The 21123-nt window shown below is 46.8% G+C and overlaps 1 protein-coding gene across 9 annotated transcripts in view, besides 6 other annotated features; it reads right to left on the bottom strand.

The window, feature by feature from the left end:
* The window catches only part of SEH1L (SEH1 like nucleoporin), a 39526-nt gene extending 36975 nt beyond the window's left edge, over positions 1-2551 (bottom strand). For all 9 annotated transcript variants that reach the window (XR_007066232.1, XR_007066233.1, XM_011525744.2 and 6 more), the window contains exon 1: positions 2330-2551. Coding sequence is in view for 7 of the 9 variants with exons in the window: in XM_011525744.2 (XP_011524046.1) it covers positions 2330-2440 (111 nt within the window). In the remaining 2 variants the exon portion in view is untranslated. The remainder of the gene's footprint in view (positions 1-2329) is intronic.
* Positions 1371-1972: an enhancer, noted in NCBI's record as "H3K27ac hESC enhancer chr18:12948589-12949190 (GRCh37/hg19 assembly coordinates)". NCBI's record gives its function as "activates a minimal SCP1, AML or CMV promoter by ChIP-STARR-seq in naive H9 embryonic stem cells {active_cell/tissue: H9 hESC(naive)}" and the evidence as "EXISTENCE:reporter gene assay evidence [ECO:0000049][PMID:30033119]".
* Positions 1371-2003: a biological region, named in NCBI's record as "H3K27ac hESC enhancer GRCh37_chr18:12948589-12949190".
* Positions 1904-2003: a silencer, noted in NCBI's record as "silent region_9325". NCBI's record gives its function as "represses an Ori minimal core promoter by ATAC-STARR-seq in GM12878 lymphoblastoid cells {active_cell/tissue: GM12878}" and the evidence as "EXISTENCE:reporter gene assay evidence [ECO:0000049][PMID:35858748]".
* Positions 2014-2363: a silencer, noted in NCBI's record as "silent region_9324". NCBI's record gives its function as "represses an Ori minimal core promoter by ATAC-STARR-seq in GM12878 lymphoblastoid cells {active_cell/tissue: GM12878}" and the evidence as "EXISTENCE:reporter gene assay evidence [ECO:0000049][PMID:35858748]".
* Positions 2404-2853: a silencer, noted in NCBI's record as "silent region_9323". NCBI's record gives its function as "represses an Ori minimal core promoter by ATAC-STARR-seq in GM12878 lymphoblastoid cells {active_cell/tissue: GM12878}" and the evidence as "EXISTENCE:reporter gene assay evidence [ECO:0000049][PMID:35858748]".
* Positions 16998-17292: a silencer, noted in NCBI's record as "tiled region #933; HepG2 Repressive non-DNase unmatched - State 7:EnhWF". NCBI's record gives its function as "represses a minimal TATA promoter and a strong SV40 promoter by Sharpr-MPRA in HepG2 cells {active_cell/tissue: HepG2}" and the evidence as "EXISTENCE:reporter gene assay evidence [ECO:0000049][PMID:27701403]".

Genomic DNA, 21123 nt, shown 5'->3' with positions numbered 1-21123 from the left:
TTCTGACAAGACATATACGTATATACACACACTCTACCATGACAACTTAAAACGTTAAAGGAAAAACAGAGGAAATCAATAAATATTAACACATTAGCAATAAGTCTATAATTTTTTCACTTTCTAAAAAGAAAAATATATTACTTGCTCAATTAAAAATATATACAAATAAATACATGGCTCCTCCTTTAAAAAAAAAGTACTCTGGAATAAATGGACCTAAGAGGGCTGGGCAAGGTGACTCACACCTGTAATCCCAGCACTCTGGGAGGCTGAGGTGAGAGGATCACTTGAGCTCAGGAGTTCGAGACTAGCCTGGGCAACGCAGCAAGACCCTGCCTCTACAAAAAAAATGTTTTAATTGGCCAGGCGTGGTGGCGTGCACTCGTAGTCCCAGCTACTGGAGAGGCTAAGGTGGGAGGATGGCTTGAACCTGGGATGTTGAGGCTGCAACAAGCCAAGATCGCACCACTGCACTCCAGCCTGGGTGACAGAGCCAGACTCTGCCTCAAAAAAAAAGGAAAAAGAAAAAAGAAAAAAAAAATTATACTAAGTGAAATAAACCAAATATAAAAGGGCGAATATTCTATGATTCTATTTATCTGAGGTACCTAGAATATGCAAATTAATAGAAAGCAGTAGAATAGAGGTTACCAGAGGATGGGGTGGCGGAACAGGGTGCTCTTGGGTACAGAGTTTCAGTTTAGGATGATGAAAAGGTTCTGGAGATGGGCAGGGGCGACGCTGCACAAAAATGTGAATGCTGTGCTCTATGCCACTGAATTCTACACTTTAAAACGGTTAACGTGGGCCGGGCGCGGTGGCTCACGCCCGTAATCCTAGCACTTTGGGAGGCCGAGGTGGGCGGATCACGAGGTCAGGAGATAGAGACCATCCTGGCTAACATGGTGAAACCCTGTCTCTACTAAAAAATACAAAAAATTAGCCGGGCGTGGTGGCGGGCGCCTGTAGTCCCAGCTACTTGGGAGGCTGAGGCAGGAGAATGGCGTGAACCCGGGAGGCGGAGCTTGCAGTGAGCCAAGATTGCGCCACCCCACTCCAGCCTGGGTGACAGAGCAAGACTCCGTCTCAAAAAAAAAAAAAAAAAAAAAAAAAAAACGGTTAACGTAGTTTATTACAACAAAAATAAACTTGTTTTAAAAAAGAAACTACATCTTTTAAAAATTGCAACACTATTTATAAAAAGTTTATCTTTGAGAGATCACTGGTATCAAACTCGAATGTGAAAAAGGATAAACTATCCTTCAGATTTCCAGTTACTCTGGAGTTGTCGAGAACCAAATAATCCGCACTCCAGCTTTCATTCATCCTGCAACACATCTGGGAGGTTCCTAAATCTCATGTAGCATCCCCACATTAGAAATTCTGCTTGTAGGCCGGGCGCGGTGGCTCACGCCTGTAATCCCAGCACTTTGGGAGGCCGAGGCGCCGAGGCGGGTGGATCACGAGGTCAGGAGTTCGAGACCAGCCTGGCCCACATGGTGAAACTCTGTCTCTACTAAAAAATACAAAAAAAAAAAAAGATTAGCCGGGGGTGGTGGCGTGCACCTGTAATCCCTGCTACTTGGGAGGCTGGGGCAGGATAATCGCCTGAAAGCGGGAGGCGGACGTTGCAGTGAGCCGAGATCGTGCCATTGCACTCCAGCCTGGGTGACAGAGTGAGACTCGGTCTCAAAAAAAAAAAAAAAAAAAGAAAAGAAATTCTGCTTGTCGGAAGTGTCTACAGACGTTTACGGGAACTTCAAGAAACAAACCCTCCGATTCCTGGGCAGCAAGCAGGGAAATCATTGGATGTAAATGGTTTGTATTTTTCTTCCTCGGCGTAACAAAGTGAGCTTCTGCTCTGAACCCACGGAGAAAACCATGTGCCCTGGTGAGAGAACACCGGCGGGGCACAGAACTCGACGCAGCGCCAGCCAGGCAAAGTCTCCCACCAGGTCCCACTGCAGGTCGTCGGGTGAACAGCGCGGGCAAGACCCACGACGCCGAGGCTGACGGTGGGATGCCCCTGGGTTCCCGCCCGCAGCCCCGGCAGCGCGGCCTGGGAGAGGGCCCGGCGTACCCTGCGGGCGGGAGCGCGCACGTGGCACCAGCTGCGCAGGCGCACGGGAGGGCGGCCCGCGAGGCCGCCGTGACCCCACAATACGCGGGCGGGGAGGGCTTCCGCTCAGTCCAGCCAGGGCTCGCCCGCCACCCCACAGCTTCCAGCGGCGTCACTGAACCAAGACACAGCCCCGTTCCCCGCGCCGCCCACCCACTCCCCTTCCTTCCTTCCGGGGTCGGCCCCGCCCGCAAGCGCCGCGCGCACCTTAACGCTCTGATCGCTGGAGCAGGTTGCCATCCGCCGCCCGTGGAAGTCGAAAGAGACATCGTGGATGAGATCCTTGTGGTCCGCCGCGATGCTGCGAGCCACAAACATGGTTTCCGTCGGGCCCGCGCCTCCGAAGAGGACAGTGGCGGCGGCAGCGGCGGCGGCGCGTGGCCCGTAGCCTAGCCAGACCTCGCAGCCCGGGAGCGCACGGCTTGTGCTGCCCACGCCCCCGCACCGCCCCTGCCTATCAAGCCCCGCCCACACACCCTCCGGTCCTTCAAGCCCCGCCCCACCCACCGGCCCGTCAGGCCCCACACAGTCCCCTGGCCCCTCAAGCCCTGCCCACGCCCCGGCCCGTCATGACTCGCCCCACCTTCCGGTCCCTCAAGCCCCGCCCCGCCCCCAGGCCCGTCAAGCCCCGCCTACCCTCCCACCAGAGCCGTCATGCCTCGCCCCACCCTCCCGCCCCCTCAAGCCCCGCCCTGTTCCCGGCTCGTCAATCCTCGTCCCGCCCCCGGCCCGTCATGCCCTACGATCCTGGTGCGGGTTCCTCCAGGCTCTGACCGTTCGGCGGCGGAGGGTGCTCTGCAAAAGGCGAGTTACCTGTGCTGAGAAGTAGTAAGAGCTTATTGGTATACTGTGCAAATGAAGAAAGATGAAAAAGTGAAGACTGCCTCTCACGGTCCTCGGCCCTGAATCATTTAAGTCGACGTTTGGATGTGTTTCCCCCCAGACACATGCGAGGCGCGCGGAGCAGGTGGAGAAGACGAACCGTGGGTTTGGTCAGGAGCCGCGCTCCGTCGGGACGGCTGAAGAGCAGGGAGGGCCGGGGAGACGCCTGAGGGGATGACAAGCAGTCCAGGCTCGGCAGCCTAAGAGCGAAGGCTGGACGGGGAGGAAAGGATCAGAAGTAGTAGTTTAAATGTGTCAAGATTTTACAGGTAGAACAGGCCTGGGGGTGCTAGGAGCCACCACGGGGGTAGGGAAATAGTATGAATTAGAAGAGTCCGCCTGTAGAAACGTGTCATCCCGGGGGAAGGAAGCGGCCGGGGAAGTGGGCTGCTTGCTACCCGGGAGCCAGAGTCCTCCGGGGAAAAGGAAGTGAAGAGGGCCAGAGCCCCTGGGAAGAGGCCTGGCTCAGATCAAGGATTCTGCCAAAACCGGAAAGTGGAGGAGCCAACGACTCGGGGGGTTTTGCTTATCAGGAAAAGGCATTCTAGAGGGCGTAGTGGTAAAGTTAGGATGGGAGACAGTGGAAGCTTGCGTCAGGGGAGCGAAAGTACAGAAAAAAAAAAAATGAGGCTGCAGAAGGGACTTGCCCTTTGGATTTTGGCCAGGAATGACAAAAATGTGAGGTATGGTAAAATTAGCAGGCTGGAAAGTTTTTTAAATGATTAGTCCCAGCTGTCCCCTGATGGATTGCACAGAAACCTGCAAAGAGAAGTGGCGCAATGACCTGACCTTTTTCAACCATAAATAAGATTTTATTGCTACTTTAAGAGGTGGGCCCCACCTCTTATGATAACTGATAACAACTATAACTTTTTTGAAGGTCAAAGACACTCATTTCCAAAGAAAGTGCTCACTATAAAAGTCCAATCAAAATATATTGATTATTATAAAAATATCAAAACAGTTTAAAAATTGTTTTAATTAAATTTAAATACAGACAGTAAACAGATCATTGGTTGCCAGAGATTATCAGAGTGGGAGTGAAGTGTTGAATTAGGTGAAACAGTGGATTTTTTAAAATAGACTTTAGTTTTTAGAACACTTTCAGGTTCACAGCAAAATTGAGCAGAAAATAGAGTTCCCGTATGTACCCCTACTGTCACACATGCACAGCATCCTCCACTGTCAACATCCCATACCAAAGTGGTACCTTTGTTATGATCAGTGAACCTACATTGACACATCATTATCACCCAAAATTCAGAGTTTGCATTAGGGTTCACTCTTGGTGTTTTATTCTGTGGGTTTTGGCAAATATATAATGACATGGATCCACCATTATAGTATCACGCGGAATAGTTTGACTGCCCTGAAAATCCTTAGTGCTCCTGTTCATCCCTTTCTTCCGACAACACCTGGCAACCGCTGATCTTTCCACTGACTGCATGGTTTTGACTTTTCCAGAATGGCATATAATGGGAATCTTGGAGTGGCTAGCCTTTTCAGATTGGCTTCTTTCCTTATAGTAATATGCATTTAAGCTTTCTCCATGTCTTGTCTTGAGAGTTCATTTCTTTTTAGTGCTGAATAATATTCCATTGTCAGGCTGTAACAGTGTTTATTCATTCCCCAACTAAAGGGCATTCTGGTTGTTTCTGTGTTTGGGCAATTATCAATAAAGCTCCTACAAACATCTGTGTACAGGTTTTTGTGTGGACATGTTCGCAACTCCTTTGGGTAGATACCAAGAAGCATGATTGCTGGATCATATTGTAAGAGTAAGTTTAGTTTTGTTTTTTGGGGTTTTGTTTTGTTTTTTGAGACAGGGTCTCACTCTGTCATGGCAGACAATCGTGGCTCACTGCAGCTTTAAATTCCCTGGGTTCAGATGATCCTCCCACCTCAGCCTCCCGAGCAGCTGGGACTACAGGCACAGTGCCACCACACCCAGCTAATTTTTCTGTTTTTTGCAGAGATGGGGTTTCACCATGTTGAGCAGGCTGGTCTCAAACTCTTGGGCTCAAGCGATCCTCTTGCCTTGGCCTCCCAAAGTGCTTGGATTACAGGCATGAGCCACTGTGCCTGGCCTGGTTTTATAAGAAACTTACAAACTGTCTTCCAAAGTGGTCGTGTCAGCCAGGCCTGGTGGCTAAATTACCCTGTAATCCAGCACTTTGGGAGGCCGAGACGGGCAGATTATCTGAGCTCAGGAGTTCAAGACCAGCCTGGGCAACGTGGCGAGACCCGCTTCTCTACTAAAAATACAAAATAAAAATACAAAAAAATGCCCCAGGAGTGGTGGTGGAACCGAGATTGTGCCACAGGACTCCATCCTGGGCAACGCAGGGAGACACTATCTCAAAAAAAAAAAAAAAAGAGAGAGAGAATTTAACACAGGAAACTGGTTACATATATATCCAAGGGGTTAATTAAGAGCAAAAAGGGAACATGTGAGATTACCCAGAGACTAGTAACTACGGGAAACTCTGGGCTGGGAGCGTGAAAGGGAAAATAGTTTTACCCAGTGCTACCATCATTGACTCTGAGGCTGCTGACATTGGCACCTTTACCACCAGCAGGCAGAAAGCCAGGAGCCAATACTCCAGCTTACACTGCAGGCGTCCAACAGAGTAACAGCCATGGGAGCCCACAAGCTCTGAACAGCTGAGGTTCCTGGAGCCTCTGCTAGTACTGCTGGAGCTAGGGCTGAGTGCTGCTGCTACTGCTGCTGTTCACATCACCCCCGAGCAGGAAGCCAGGCTCACCCATTGCCACCACCACCACTACTCAGCTATGTGAGCTGCCTCCACAAATTGGAGAAAAGGTCTTCTTCCTCCTGCATCTGAATCCCCTACTGTCTCTCAATTCAGAACCTAACTAGAAATAGAGAGCTAATAAGAGTCTGGAAAAACAAGCTTGGAGGTTTCCAGTTCATATTCTGGAAAGAATACGACCTACAGTGAAGGCTGGGCGTGGCAGCTCACACCTGTAATCCCAACATTTTGGGAGGCTGAGGCGGGCAGATCACTTGAGGTCAGGAGTTCAAGACCAGCCTGGCCAACATGGTGAAACCCCGTTTCTACTAAAAATACAAAAATTAGCTGGGCGTGTTGGTGAGCGCCTGTAATCTCAGCTACTCAGGAGGCTGAGGCAGGAGAATCGCTCTAACCCTGGAGGCAGAGGTTGCAGTAAGCTGAGATTGCACCGCTGCACTCCAGCCTGGGCAACAGAGCGAGACTCCATCTCAAAAATATAAATAAATAAATAACCTACAATGAGTTAAGAAGCTTTCACATTTTTTTTCCTGCTCTGCGCCAGTTTAAATAGCATAGGAACTGAAAGATTCCTATGAAGATTTTGTAGAAGATTCCGTGAAGATTTTGTAGATGACGTTCACAAAATTTTATCAGCCTCATGCCTTGGGTGATGATAGGTATAGTTAATTTTAACTACCTTTTAAAATTATTTTATTCATGGCCTCTTCAGATTTTTTACCTTTTGTCAAGACAATTTTGATCATTTATATCTTCCTTTAAAAAATCAGCCATTTTGTGCTGGGCATGGTGGCTCATGCCTGTAATCTCAGCACTTTGTGAGGCCGAAGTAGAAGCATTGCTTGAGCTCAGGAGTTCAAGACCAGCCTGGGCAACATAGTGAGCCCTCGTCTCTACAGAAAACAAATTAGCCAGGTGTGGTGGTGCACGCCTGTATTTCAGCTACTCAAGAGGCTGAGGCAGGAAGAGGATCACTTGAGCCCAGGAGGCAGAGGTTGCAGTGAGCTGAAATCGTGCCACTGCACTCCAGCCTGGGCGACAGAGTGAGACACTGTCTCAAATAAATAAATAATCAGCCATTTCACTGAAATATTTAAACTTATTAATATAGAGTTATATATGTTAATGTCTTGCAATTTCTAAAGTCTCCATATCTGATGTAAGGCTTTTTTTCTTATTTCCATTGCTTTTTGTCTTACTGCCTTTGTCCTTAACATTTTGCTTTTTAATGAAGTATAATATAGATTCCAAAATGTACACGTATCACAAGTGTACACAGCTCACTGGATTTTCACAAACTGAACACATCTGTGCAGCCATCATCACCTCGAAAAAGGGAGCATGACTCACACCCTTAAAGCTCTCCTGTGGTCCCTTCTGGTCTTTACACCCCTCCCCAAGCAGTAACTACCGACCTCCTTCCTAACAGCATAGGTTGGTGTGATGATTAATTTTATGTGTCACCATGGTTAGGCTATGAAGCCCAGTTCTTTGCTCAAACACTAGTCTAGATGTTGCTATAAAGGTATCTTGTAGATGGGATTAACATCTGCAATCAGTTGTGTTCCGTGAAAGGGTCGTATTAATATATACAAAGCGACCCCCAACTGCCGAAGGAGCTGAGAAACCAAAGAAAGAGGCAGACAAATCCAGTTGGTCAGTTTTGGATGATTTATTAGGGGATTATATTTTGGGGGATTTATTAGGGGATTATATTTATTGACTTATTAGGGGAACTTACAGACAGAAGTCTTGGGTCTTGCGGTCTTGAGTGGCTGCAAGACAGGTAGATCTCCACTCCACAACCCCCCAGACACACAGCTTGGGAAAAATGCATACGTGCTCTGGAAGGAATGTATAGGTGGCTGTGGGTATCACAGCCTGTGATTTCTGCAACAACAAAGGTGGTTTTGGAGGCAACTTACAATAAATAGCTCTTCCTACATAAAGAGTAATACATCAACTAGACATTTTGGAGGCATTCTCAAACTCAGGGTTAGTGGGAACTTACATGGTAGATTGGCGTTTTAAATTGGCCAGGGGCGGTGGCTCACGCCTGTAATCCCAACACTTTGGGAGGCCGAGGCAGGCAGATCACGTGAGGTCAGGAGTTAAAGACCAGCCTGGCCAACATGGTGGAACCCCGTCTCTAATAAAAATACAAAAATTAGCCGGGTGCGATGGCGGGCACCTGTAATCTCACCTACTCAGGAGGCTTGAGGCACAGGAATCACTTGAACCAGGTAGGCTGACGTTGCAGTGAGCTGGGATCACACCACTGCACTCCAGCCTGGGCGACAGAGCAAGACTCCATCTCAAAAAAAATAAAAAATAAAAATAAAAAGTCACTCTTGTCCCTACAAGTTGCCTTTAAGTAAAGGAGATTAACCTTGATAAGGTAGCTGGGCCTCATCCATCCAGTTGAAGGCCTTAAGATAAAAGACTCAGGTTTCCCAAAGAAAAAAATTCTGCCTCAAGTCTGTGTAACACAGAAATCCTTCCTGAGTTCCTAACCTACCCTACATATGAGAGACTCAGACTGCAACATCCTTTCCTACCCCATATCCAGCCCACCAGTTTGTCCCAAGGATTTTAGACTTAACAGCCTGCACAATCACATGAGCCAATTGCTTTAAAAAAAAAACCCTTTTGTATTCTTAGAAATAAAAAAGAAAGATGTAAATATTGTCTTGTTTCTCTGGAGAATCCTGACTGATACAGATTTTACAGATTTTATACAAAGATTGGTTCTAGAAGAACAGAGTCTTTTTTTTTTTTTTTTTGAGACAGAGTCTTGCTGTCTCCCACCAGGCTGGAGTACAGCAGCGAGATCTCGGCTCACTGCAATCTCCGCCTCCCGGGTTCACGCTGTTCTCCTGCCTCAGCCTCCCAAGTAGCTGGGACTACAGGCGCCCGCCACCACACCCGGCTAATTCTTTTTTATTTTTAGTAGAGACGGGGTTTAACCGTGTTAGCCAGGATGGTTCTCCATCTCCTGACCTTGTGATCCGCCTGCCTTGGCCTCCCAAAGTGCTGGGATTACAGGCGTGAGCCACCACGCCCAGCCTAGAAGAACAGAATCTTAAGGATGAGTTTTTGGAATTGGTTCTGTGGTTTCTGGAATTGGTTCTCTAATCTGGTTGGATTTTAATGCACTAATGACTCTACTTTCAGTGGTAAACAGAGCACCTATAGTGTGATATGGCAGTAGAGATACCCAAAATACCGCCATTGGACACTCCTACTCAAATATTCATGAGAGGCAAGGTTCTGGGTGACCATATATTTGCCACCTTAGAACATTTTTATCAAATTAATGAGTATAACGAAATTGGCTGTTGCTGTTAATTGTGCTTGACAAGATAGGGAAAGAAAGGATGAACTCAGGGTTTCAAACTCCCAGCTCAACCATTACATAACTGAATGGAAAGTTTCTGTGTCTGCCCTGAAAAAAAAAGAAAGAAAAGAAAAGAAAAGAAAAACACATCTCCTGTAGCCACAGAGCTGACGTTTCTGGAAGCCAAATCCAGAGTCTCATCCTGCAAGTCGTTGAATTATGACACAAATTGAGTTCCCAACCTCACGGGAACGTCTGCTGTTAAAGTAAGGGCAGGAATTGGGAAGGAACAGGGTCCTGAATTTTTTCTGTCTCTCCTAGTGCCTTCATATGAGAAGTACACCTAAAAATTTGAATGGGGACCTGTGGGAAGATCCTGGTGAAACTGGCGACATTGAGCTCCTAAATTCTGTGGATTCTTCTCTGCCAGTAGAAGCAAGCCTTCCACCCCATCTGAGGATATTGACTCTGTTATCAAGCAGGAGCCTGTGGTGGCCTCTTCTGAGGTAGTTGCCTCAGAAGACAGTGCTGATTCCTCAGGATCTACCCTAGGAACCCCTTTTTGCTTCTAGAACTATGACAAGACTCAAGTCCCTACAGGCCCCAAAACGTGAGATACAAAGTGTGACTCAGGAGGTTCACTGAGATCCAAAAGAACTGCATGGTGGTTCCAATTTGTACAGACAAAATCTTGGGAATGAGTATTAATGTGTGGGATAATGATGCAAGGAACATGAAGTTGGATTGGGGGTAACTTATTGAGATGGGCCCATTAGTCAGATCTGGATTCAGTGCTGTACCTCCAGGGCTTAGAAAAGGGCTCTGACAGTTTGGTTTAGCTGAAGTATGGACCAAAAGGTGGCCCACACTAAATAAAGCTGAAATGGCAGAGCTGACTTTGTGCACCGTAGAGGAAGGTATAGGGAGGTTGGAATATTAGATTTAACACGTGACCCCTGCTCACCCACCCTAGGAGCATCCAGAGGACACACCTTTCACCATGACTGATAAATACATTTGTGAGGGGAGCCCCTGCATCCTTGAGGAGCTCCTGTGGTTGCTTTTCCTTGTAGGTCAGATATTGCAGTGGGATCTACTGTCACAGAACTTGGAATCCTTAGGTGCAGTGCAGATCATTGGTTTCTGGGACAGAAGGGGACAAGTGGCAACATGTAATTGCCAAAAGCAAGGAGAGCATGGTCACCATAATGGGCAGTAGAGTCAAAACGGCAATAATAGTCTGACTGGCAGAGACCTATGGCATTGGCTGTTGATCGTGGTGTCCGTAGAAGAGAGTAGACGGACAGCCTATTAAATTCTTACTTGATCTGTATAATTAGAAGAGTTCTAGGTCAAGTGAACAAACACCTAACTTGAATCATAAAAACAAAGAGTCGCAGCTCTTCACTCAATTCCCAGACTTGAACCAGTTTACAGACCCAGAATCCCTTGAATGAAGGGAAATCAAGGTCGCCTTGAGGAAGGACCCTGATACACTGTCAAAAATGTATACTATTAATCTTCCTCTCAGGTGTCCCCAACGGGACCAACGGTTTTTTTACCATGGTGATTGTACATTGTGAAAAATAAAATAATCAGACTTTTGTGGGATTACTGAACTGGCTCTGAACTCACACTAATTCCAGGAGGCCATTCAGAGTAGGGGCTTATGGAAGTAAAATGGTCGATGGAGCCCCGGTCCATCTCACTCTGGGCCAGCAGGTCCCTAAACCCATCCAGTGGTTACTTTCGTAGTTCCAGGATGCATAACTGGTATAGACCAGTTACTCAGCATCTGGCAGAATCCTCACACTGGTTCCTGTGGAGTGAGGGCTATTGTGGTAGGAAAAGCCAAGTGGAAGCCACTAGAACTGCCTCTTCCTAGGCAAAATAGTAAACCAAAAACAATCCCAAATTGCCGGAGGGATTTCAGAGATTAGCGTCATCATCAAGGACTTGAACAAAGCAGGGATGGTGACTTCTACCACATCCCCCTCAATTAGCTTATTTGGCCTGTGCAGAAAAAAAGATGGCTCTTGGAGAATGACACCTGTGTACTTAACCAGGTGGCCACCCCAATTGCAACTGCTGTTTCAGATGTGGTTTCACTGCTTGAGTAAATTAACACATGCCTTGGTGCCCTGGTACTTGGTGTGCAGCTATTGATTGGCAAATGCTTTTTCCTCAGTATCTGTTAATAAAGATTACCAGAAGCAATTTGCTTCCAGCTAGCAAGGCCAGCAATACATCTTTACTGTTTTATTAGTCTGCTCAGACTGCCATAACAAAATACCACAGACTGGGTGTTTAAACAACAGAAATTTACTTTTTTTGTTTTTGTTTTTGAGACAGAGTCTCACTCTGTCACCCAGGCTGGAGTCCAGGGGCATGGTCTTGGCTCACTGCAACCTCCACCTCCATTCAAGCGATTCTCCTCCCTCAGCCTCCCGAGTAGCTGGAATTACAGGCGCACACCACCACGCCTGGCAAATTTTTGTATTTTTGGTAGAGACAGGGTTTCACCAAGTTGGCCAGGCTGGTCTCAAACTCCTGATCTCAGATGATCCACCCACCTCAGCCTCCCAAAGGGCTAGGATTACAGGCATGAGCCACTGCACCAGGCCCAGAAATTTACTTTTTCACCATTCCAGAGGCTAAAAGTCCCAGATGGAGGTGCTGGCAGATTTGATTTCTATTGAAGACTCTGTTCTTGGCTTGTAGACAGCCACCTTTTCACTGCGTCCTCACACAGCCTTTGTTCTATGCTTATGTGTAGAGAGAAATCTCTGTTGTCTCCTCCTTTTCTTATAAGGTCACCAGTTCTATTAGATAAGGGCCCCACTCTTATGATCTTATTTAATTTTAATTACCTCCCTACAGGCCCTCTCTCCAAACATAGTCAGATTAGGGGTTAGGACGTCAACATAAGAATTTGGAAGAATACATTTCAGTCCATAACAATTGTCTTATGTCAGGAGTAGATTAAACTCTCCGTTCCTATCACAGTATAGTCTTCAGGGATTTTGATCACCTTTCTTTTCCACAAGATATCACACCAGTTTAGTACATTTATGACATTATGCAGATTGGACCTGATGAGCAAGATGCAGCAACTGCTCTAGACTTATTAGTAAGAAATGTGCATGTCAGAGAATGGTAAATAAATCCAACTAAAATTCAGGGACCTTCTCCCTCAGTGAAATTTCTAGGGATCCAGTGGTGTAGGGCATGTCAAGATATTCCTTACAAAATGAAAGACAAGTTGTTGCATTTGGCTCCGCCTATAACCAAAAAAGAGGTACAATGCCCTTTTGGATTTTGGAGGCAAGACATTCTTCATTTGGGTGTGCCACTCCAGCTCATCAACCAAGTGACCCAAAAAGCTGCTAGCTCTGAGTGGGGCCCTTGGCTTCTAGTCCTGATACACAATCTTATCAGTTCACGCCCCTATCTATGGCCTCATACAGAGTTTCCTACAATCAGTTGACTGAGGAAGACGAGACGAGATATACCAGGCACATAGGTGGTTCTGCATGATATGCAGGCACCCCAATATGGACAACTACAGCATAATAGTCCCTTTCTGGGACATCCCCAAGAAACAGTGGTGAAGGGAATTCCTCCCAGTGGGAGCAATCCCCAACTTTGGGCAATGAATCCAGTGGTTTTTGTTTGGAAGGAGACATGGCAAGAGGTATAATTGTATATTCACTTATGAGATTTTGCTTGATGGTCAGGGACTTAGAAGGAACATTATTGGAAATTGGTGACAAGGAAATTTGATGTCTCTCTCTCTCTGAATGAGCAAAAAATGGAAGATATTTGTGTTCCATATGAATGCCCACCAAACGGTGACATCTACAGAGGAGAATTTTAATAATAGAATAGAATGACCTGTTCTGTGGATGCGAGGCGGTTTCTTTCCGTAGCCACCCCTGTCATGCCCAGTGAGTTCACGAACAAAGCAGCCATGGTGTCAGGATGGAGGTTACACATGGGTTCAGCAATATGGACTTCCACCCACTAAGGCCAACCTGGCTACACCCACCACCGAGTGCCCAATCTGTCAGTGGTAGAGACCAACACTGAGGCTCCAATATGGCACCATTCCCCGGGATGATCAGCCAGCTACAGGTGGCATGTTGGTTACATTGGACTCCTTCCATCATGGTAGGTCGGTATTTTGTCCTTCCTGGGGTGGACACTTAGTCTGAATATGGATTTGCTTTCCCTGTACACAATGCCTCTGCCAAAATTTATCCATGGAGCCACAGAATGCCATATTCACCACTGTGGTAGGTTCCACAAAGCATTGCTTCTATCCTATTCAGCCCGTTCTATTCTATTCACTGTTCTAATCTGCCTACTGCTTCAGGATGGTGGGGAACATGGTGAGACCAGTGACTTCCAAGAGCCTGTGCCCATTGCTGCACTTTTTTTTGCTGTGAAGTGAGTGCCTTGATCAGAACAGTGAAACGGCGTTTTGAAGACTCAGATACAGTGTCAGGTAGGTGGTAATGCCTTGCAGGGCTGGGGCAATATTCTCCAGGAGGTTGTGTATGCTCTGAATTAGCACCCAAGGGGCTGGGGGTGGTGGCTCATGCCTGTAATCCCAGTACTTTGGGAGGCTGAGGTTGGGGGATCGCTTGAGCTCAGGAGTTTGAAACCAGCCTGAGACACATAGCAAGACCCTGTCTCTATTTAAAAAAAAAAAAAAAAAAGTTTAAAAATTAGCTGGGCGTGGTGGCATGCAGCTGTACTCCCAGCTACTCAGGAAGCTGAGATGGGAGGGTCACTTGGGCCCGGAAGGCCAAGTCTGCAGTGAGCCTTGATCATGCCACTGTACTCCAGCTTGGGTGACAGAACAAGACCCTGTCTCAAAATAAATAAATATAAGTTAGCATCCAATATAGGGTGCTGCTTCGCCAATAGCCATGATACATAAGTCCAGGAATCAAGGGATGGAAATGGAGTTGGCACCATTCACTATTACCCCTATACTGACCCACTAGCAAAATGTTTTCTTCCTGTTCTGTAACCTAATGCTCTGCTGATCTAAAAGTCTTAGTTCCAAAGGGAAGAGTGCTTCCACCAGGAAACACAACAGTGATTCCACCAAACTCTCAGTTAACGTGCCACCCAGCCACTTGGGGCTCCTCATGCTTCTGAGTCAACAGGCTAAGAAGGGAGCTGCTGTGTTTTCTGGGGTGATTGGTCCTGGCTACCAAGGGAAAATTGGGCTGCTACTCCCCGACGGAGGTAAGTAAGAGTGCATCTGGAGTACAGGAGATCTCAATGTTACTCTGCACTGTGATTCAGATCAATGGAAAACTATAACAACCTAATTCAGGCCATACTACTAAATGGTCCAAACTCTTCAGGAAGGAAGGTTTGGGTCACCCCACCAGGTGACAAACCATGACCAGCTGAGGTGCTTGCTGAGGGCAAAGGGAATCTGGAATGGGTAGTGGAAGCAGATGGTTATAAATACCAGCTAAACCACATGGCCAGTTACAAAAATGGGGACTGTAATTGTTACGAGTATTTCTTCCTTATTTGGTTACAAATGTGTTGTGTGTGTGTGTGTTTAGAAAATATATTTGTCTTCTTCTCTCTCTTATTCCCTTATATTACATAAGACATATCTTAATATTTCAGTTACAGGATACCAAAGAGAAGAGTAAACATGACCCAAGAACCCTACGTCCTCTTCTGGGGAAGGTTTAGTGTGTCTCTGGTTTTACCCAAGATAGTTGAATCAGGTGAGGTGCAAGTATGATTTTGCTGTTATCTGGAGATTAAGTATAGTTTAAGGAGATATGTAGAGGTGCCACGTTGACAAACAGTTGACTGCAGTAGTTAATTTTATTTATTTATTTATTTATTTGAGACAGGGTCTTACTCTGTTGTCAGGCTGGAGTGCAGAGGTGTGATCTCGGCTCACTGCAACCTCAGCCTCCCAGGCTCAAGTGATTCTCCTGCCTCAGCCTCCTAAGTAGCTGAGACTAAAGTGCGCGCCACCACACCCAGCTAATTTTTGTATTTTTAGTAGAGACAGGGTTTCACCATGTTGGCCAGGATAGTCTTGATCTCTTGACCTCGTGATCCACCCACCTCGGCCTCCCAAAGTGCTGGGATTACAGGCGTGAGCCACCGCGCCCAGCCTGCAGTAGTTAATTTTATGTGTCACTGTGGTTAAGCTATGGTGCCCAGTTGTTTGCTCAAACACTAGGTCTAGAAGTTGCTGTGAAGATATTTTGTAGGTATGATTAATATCTACAATCCATTGACTTTAAGGAGATTACCCTCAATAATGAGAGTGAGCCTCACCCATTCAGTTGAAGGACTTGAGAGCAAAGACTCTCAAGAGAGCAGGGAAAAAGAAGGAATTCTGCCTCAAGTCTGTAACACAGAAATCCTACCAGACTTTTTCTGGTTTGCTGACCTGCCCTACAGATTATAGACCAGCCAGGCCCCACAATCACATGAGCCAATTCCCTTAAATAAATTCCTTTAAAATATATCCATAGATCTCCCATTAGTTCTCTGCGAAACCTTGACTGGTACAGTTAGTTTCACTTGTTTTGTGAAGTTTCACTTGTTTTGTGCTTCCTGTACATGAAATTACACAATCTATACTTTTCCTACCCAGCTCCTTTTGTTCTACATGACATTTGTGAGCTTCATTCCTACTTTCCTCAGGTTCATCCGTGAACTGTGTGTGAGCTGCGGGGTCAGACCCACCGTCTGCATGTGTAGCATTCCTGTGAGACAGGAGCCAGCAGGCGGCACTATGACATCGCATATGGAACTTGGAAACGTCCTGTAACTGCAAATTCCTAGGTGTCAGCCACAGCTGAATTTTTCAGTGGTCTGTCACAGGGCAGGCAGCTTATCGTCAAACTGGAAATAAAATCTTTACATTTCTAAATTTGATGTTAATTGAGTTGATAAAATTTGGCCGGGCGCGGTGGCTCATGCCTTTACCAGCAGTTTGGGAGGCTGAGGCAGGCAGATGACTTAAGGTCAGGAGTTCGCGACTAGCCTGGCCAACACGGCGAGACCCCGTCTCTACTAAAAATACAAAAATTAGCTGGGTGTGGTGGTGATCACCTGTAATCCCAGCTACTCGGGAGGCTGAGGCAGGAGAATTGCTTGAGCCCTGGAAGCGGTGGGTGCAGTGAGCCAAGATCACGCCACTGCACTCCAGCCTGGGCGACAGAGTGAGACTCTGTCTCAGAAATAATAATAATAATAAAATAAAATAAAATTGAAGTGCTCAGGACACGAGAGGCCTTCACAGAAGTAAGCTGTGGCAGGGGGAGAGGAGAGGGGCTGATGTGCCCTCAGCCCAGCACTAGGGAGTGTCAACGCCCTGGAGGGGTCTGGTACTTTACTTGCCAGCTAATGCGTTGCGCCGTCACAGACTAGTGGATATGGATACTGGCAGGAGCTGTGTTATGTATTTTTTTTTTTTATAGACAGGGTCTCACTCTGTTGCCCAGGCTGGAGTGCAGTGATGCAATCATCGCTCACTGCAGCCTCAAATTCCTGGGCTCAAGCGATCCTCCTGCCTCAGCACCCCCAAAGTTCTGGGACTACAGGCATGAACCACTGTGCCTAGCTAGAAGCCGTGTTATTATTTACAACAATCACTATAGCCATAGTACCCACATTTCCTTGCCCTAAGTCCTAGCATGTGGGGCCGGATGACACCTGCACAAGCAGTGGCTTGCAATTCATGACAATCTCTGAGCTTGGGGACCCTGAATGTTTGACAATGGGCAGTAAGCCTGCCTACCCATTTGCTCTGGAAAGAGCTGCTCTTTCTATCTTCCAAGCAACTGCCCTTTGTTGTAAGCAGTGTAAGCAAACTGCCCATTGCTTTGGAGAAAGACACTATTGTTTGTCTTCCAAGGCTGTTCATTTCACCAACATTGTTGAAAAGGTAACCCAGAACAAAGGGAAGGCAGACATGCAAAGACTGCAAGGCATGCAAAAATGTGAAACACCCAGGGAGACTCATCTGGCAACAGGAGTATAGAGGATGAGGAGGGTCCTCTTCCTCTGGGAGGTGTGGTGGGGAGAAAAATGTGCTGCTAGAATGGAGAAGGTGGCTGCAGAATGGCACCTCTAGGCTTTCTGAGGATTCACATCAGTCCTCTGCACCAGGAGGCTGCCATCTGCATAGTAACGGGCTGCCTGGGGCCCATGGCCTTGAGTGGCATTCCCCTCTGGAACTTTTGGGCAGTGGTGTTCTTCTTGTCTCCCCGTAGCAAGCACTGGAGAAAATGTCATGCAGACATCCTTTGCTCCTCACTCCTGTGCTCTGGAGGGGAGAGCCTATCTAAACCAAAAGAAGCCCCGAGTGCATGTTTTCCTTTCTGACTGAGGTCGAAGGCGAGAGAAGGCTCTTGCAGAGGCAGTAGCAGTGCTGAGAAGGGCAGAGCCAGGTGGCAGGAACCCAGGAGAGCCACCTTTCTACCTTAGGTCAACAGTCCTGCTGTTGAGGGAAACCCTTGCTATTCTAGCCTCTCTCTTAGTGTCCAAGCAGCAACAGTTGGGGCAGGGATGAAGGGCTCAATCTCTTTCCTGTGAAGGGGTCAGAGAGCATTTTGGATTGCCTTGCCAAGAAGAGTATATGTTGCAGGCCAGGGATGCCTGCAGTGGCTTGGAATAAGGGAAGGGAGGGTCTTCCTCGCTGACTTCCCTGGGATCTTTTCTTCCCACCATAATTTGTATTATGTATTGAAAGGACACAATTGGAGTAAAATTACAGAATTACAGACTTTCACTGGAGGAAAGGACCTCAGAGATGGCCTAGTCCAGTAGTTTCTTAGCTGAGATCCTGGGACTACTCAGGCCTTCACGGATGGGTTTCAGGGATCCAACCTTCTCCTAGTGCGATGCATTTGAGTTTCCAGAAGTTTGTCAGGTGACTGGGATCAAACCATTCCTAGGTGACGGGTAAGTAACAGAACAGATGGGTCTCTGGAGTTTGGGCAAGAAGAAGTCGTTGTAGCCAGGCAGAGTCAGACACGGCTGGGCATCAGGAAGCAGCCCTTGGGCCAGAGAAGTTCTCAGGCCGTTGTGCATCGTGGTGGCAATGGCAGCAACCTTGGGGTCCAGCAGCTTCAGCGTCCTCCACTATAACCTGCAGGAAGGAAACTTTATGATGCCTTATGTCAAGAATTTAGTATTTAAGCAACACAATAAAAAATGGCTAGGTGTTCCTATTTAGATGGACTTTGCTGGGGTGTGAGAGTCATTTTGTGAGTCCTGGGGGAGAACACTGCACAGACAAGACGGGACCCCAGGTGCCAGACTGGAGGCCCTGAACTTCATCCTGTAAGCAGAGGAGAGCAATTGGCAGTCCATAAGCAAGGAAACTGGCAACCACTGCAAGAACTGCAGGAATTGCCTCTGGAAGACACTGGAAGAATGAGAGAGTAGGGAAGGAAGCACAGGGTCTTCCCAAGCATTATTTGCCTGGTACACAGTAAGTTCTTATAAATATTTGGAGAGAGAAAGAGAAGAAGAGAGAATGCTTCACGATCAGTCCTACCAACATACTTGTAAGAATCAGCTGGGATCCACTTCAATCTTTCTGTAAAGGGAGAAATAGGAATGCATGCCGCCACCAGTACTCCTCACTGCTATTGTAACTAACGTTTGCATGTCCTCTTCCCCTTGTCACAAAGGGCAGTTACTGTTCCCAAGTTCTTATGTTGTAATGGGGCTTGTTGTCCTGGGACCTGGGAAAGAAAATAGTTTTCGGTTAATGCGACCACTACCCCAGGGCCCGTTTATTTGGGACAGCTGATGTGTAATGCTATAGTCTAGGGAGACATGGAAATTTTTTTGTAGGTCACTCTTAAGAAATAGTTTGAGATGGCGCTGGAAACTTCCTGAGCCCTTTGGGTTCCAATATTCTAGGTGGAGATTTAGTCCTCGCTCTGACATCTCAACCAAGTTCATTTTGAGCATCACAGTATGGTGGCTGAATAATGGCCCCTCAAGTATGTCCATGTCCCAATCCCCAGGACCTGTGAATAGGTTACTTTACATGGTAAAGGACCTCTGCAAATGTGAGCAAGTTAAGAGCCTTGAGATGGGGAGATGGTCGTGGCTTATTTGGGTGGGCTCAGTGTGACGGAACAGTCCTTGTAAGGGGGTTGCAGGAGGGTCAGTGTCAGAGGAGGTGATGTGATTGGAGTGATGCGGCCATGTCTTGCAGTGGGACACTGGCTTCCCTTTGTTCTGGGTTACCTTTTCAAGAATGTTGGTGAAATGAACAGCCTTGGAAGACAAACAATAGTGTCTTTCTCCAAAGCAAAGGGCAGTTTGCTTACACTGCTTACAACAAAGGGCAGTTGCTTGGAAGATAGAGTCGCTCTTTCCAGAGCAAATAGACAGCCCTGGAAGCTGGAAGGGGCAGGGCAGGTGCTATGGTCTGAATGTTTGTGTCTCCCCAAATTCATGTGTTTCATTCTAACCCCCAAGGTGATGATATTGGGAGGTGGGGTCTTGGGGAGGTGATTAGGTTTTGACGGTGGACCCTCATGATTGAAATTGGCATCCCTGTAAAAGAGATCCACCAAAAGAGCTAGCTTGCCCCTTCCAGTGAGAAGATGAGCCCTTACCAGACACCAAATCCATCTTGATCTTGGACTTCCCAGCCTCCACACTATGAGAAATACATTTCTGTTGTTTAGAAGCCACCCAATTTGTGGTATTTTGTTATAGTAGCCCAAATAGACTAAAGCAGAATGGATATTCTCCAGGGGCCTCCTTAAGACTAATTTTAAACTTCTGATCTCTAGAACTGTAAGAACAAATTTGAGTTGTTTTAAGCGAAGTGCGTGGCCATCTGTTACACAGCAAGCCATTGATTCTCATGACGGATGCTCTGTTGGTCTCCCCTCCCCCTGAGAACTGTGCTGGCCTGGCACAGTGGTCTTCAGCTTTACTTTCCCTTGGAATCCTGTGGAAAACTTTTGAAGATCCTCTTGCCCAGGATCTGCCCCAGATTAACTGAATGAGAATCTCTGGGAGCAGGACCCAGCATTGTCATCATTATTACTTTTGTAAATAGAGAAATAATCCACATGACACCGAAATGTACATATTATTAGATGTTTACTTCAAAGACACTTGACAGTTGTAGACACCCCTGTAACCACCACTGAAACGAGATACAGAGCATCCCCATCACAACGGAAGGTTATTTCTATAATGCCCCTTGCAATGAACTCCAACCCCAAGAGGCAACCACTTTCAGACTTCCATCACAATAGATGAGTTTTATCTCTTCTTAGACCTCATATAAATGGAATCACATGGCTTGTTTTTTTGGTGGGTCTGGCTCCTTTTGCTCAAAAAAATGTTTTTGAGATTCACCCATGTGGTTGTATGTTCCTTTTTATTGCTGAGTAACATTTGGTTACATGAATATATCGTGATGTATTTATCTATTTTGATGGTGATGGATTTTTGAATTGTTTACAGTTTGGGGTTATAATGAATGAGGCTGAGGTTTTGAAGCAGGGCCACAGACTTTGACACTCTCATCAGAAATGGTTTCTGTAGCCCCTCCCACTGGAGCCAGGCAGGTTTGCGATTGCTTCAACTAATGGAGACTAGTAAAAGATTGAAGTGTCCCTCAAAATTCCCATGTCAAAGTCCTAATCCCTGGTGTGGCTATATTTGCAGGTAGGACTTTTAGGGAGGCAATTACAATTAAATGAGGTCATAAGGGTGGGGCCCTGATTCAAGAAGCCTGGCGTGTCCTCGTAAGAAGAAGAGGAGACACCAGAGCTCAGTCTCTCTCCCTCCCTGCACAGGTGCAGAGGGAAGGAACTGGGAGCACACAGCAAGAAAGTGGCTGTTCACAAGCTAGGACCTGACCCTGCTGGCACCTTGATCTCGGACTTCCAGCCTCCAAAACTGTGAGAAAAAAATAAATATTTGTTGTTTAAGCCACCCATCTGTGGTATTTTATTATGACA

Source organism: Homo sapiens, chromosome 18 (genome assembly GCF_000001405.40).
Source record: "Homo sapiens chromosome 18, GRCh38.p14 Primary Assembly".
Classification (NCBI taxonomy): domain Eukaryota; kingdom Metazoa; phylum Chordata; class Mammalia; order Primates; family Hominidae; genus Homo; species Homo sapiens.
This window is presented reverse-complemented; position numbering and strand designations above follow the sequence as displayed.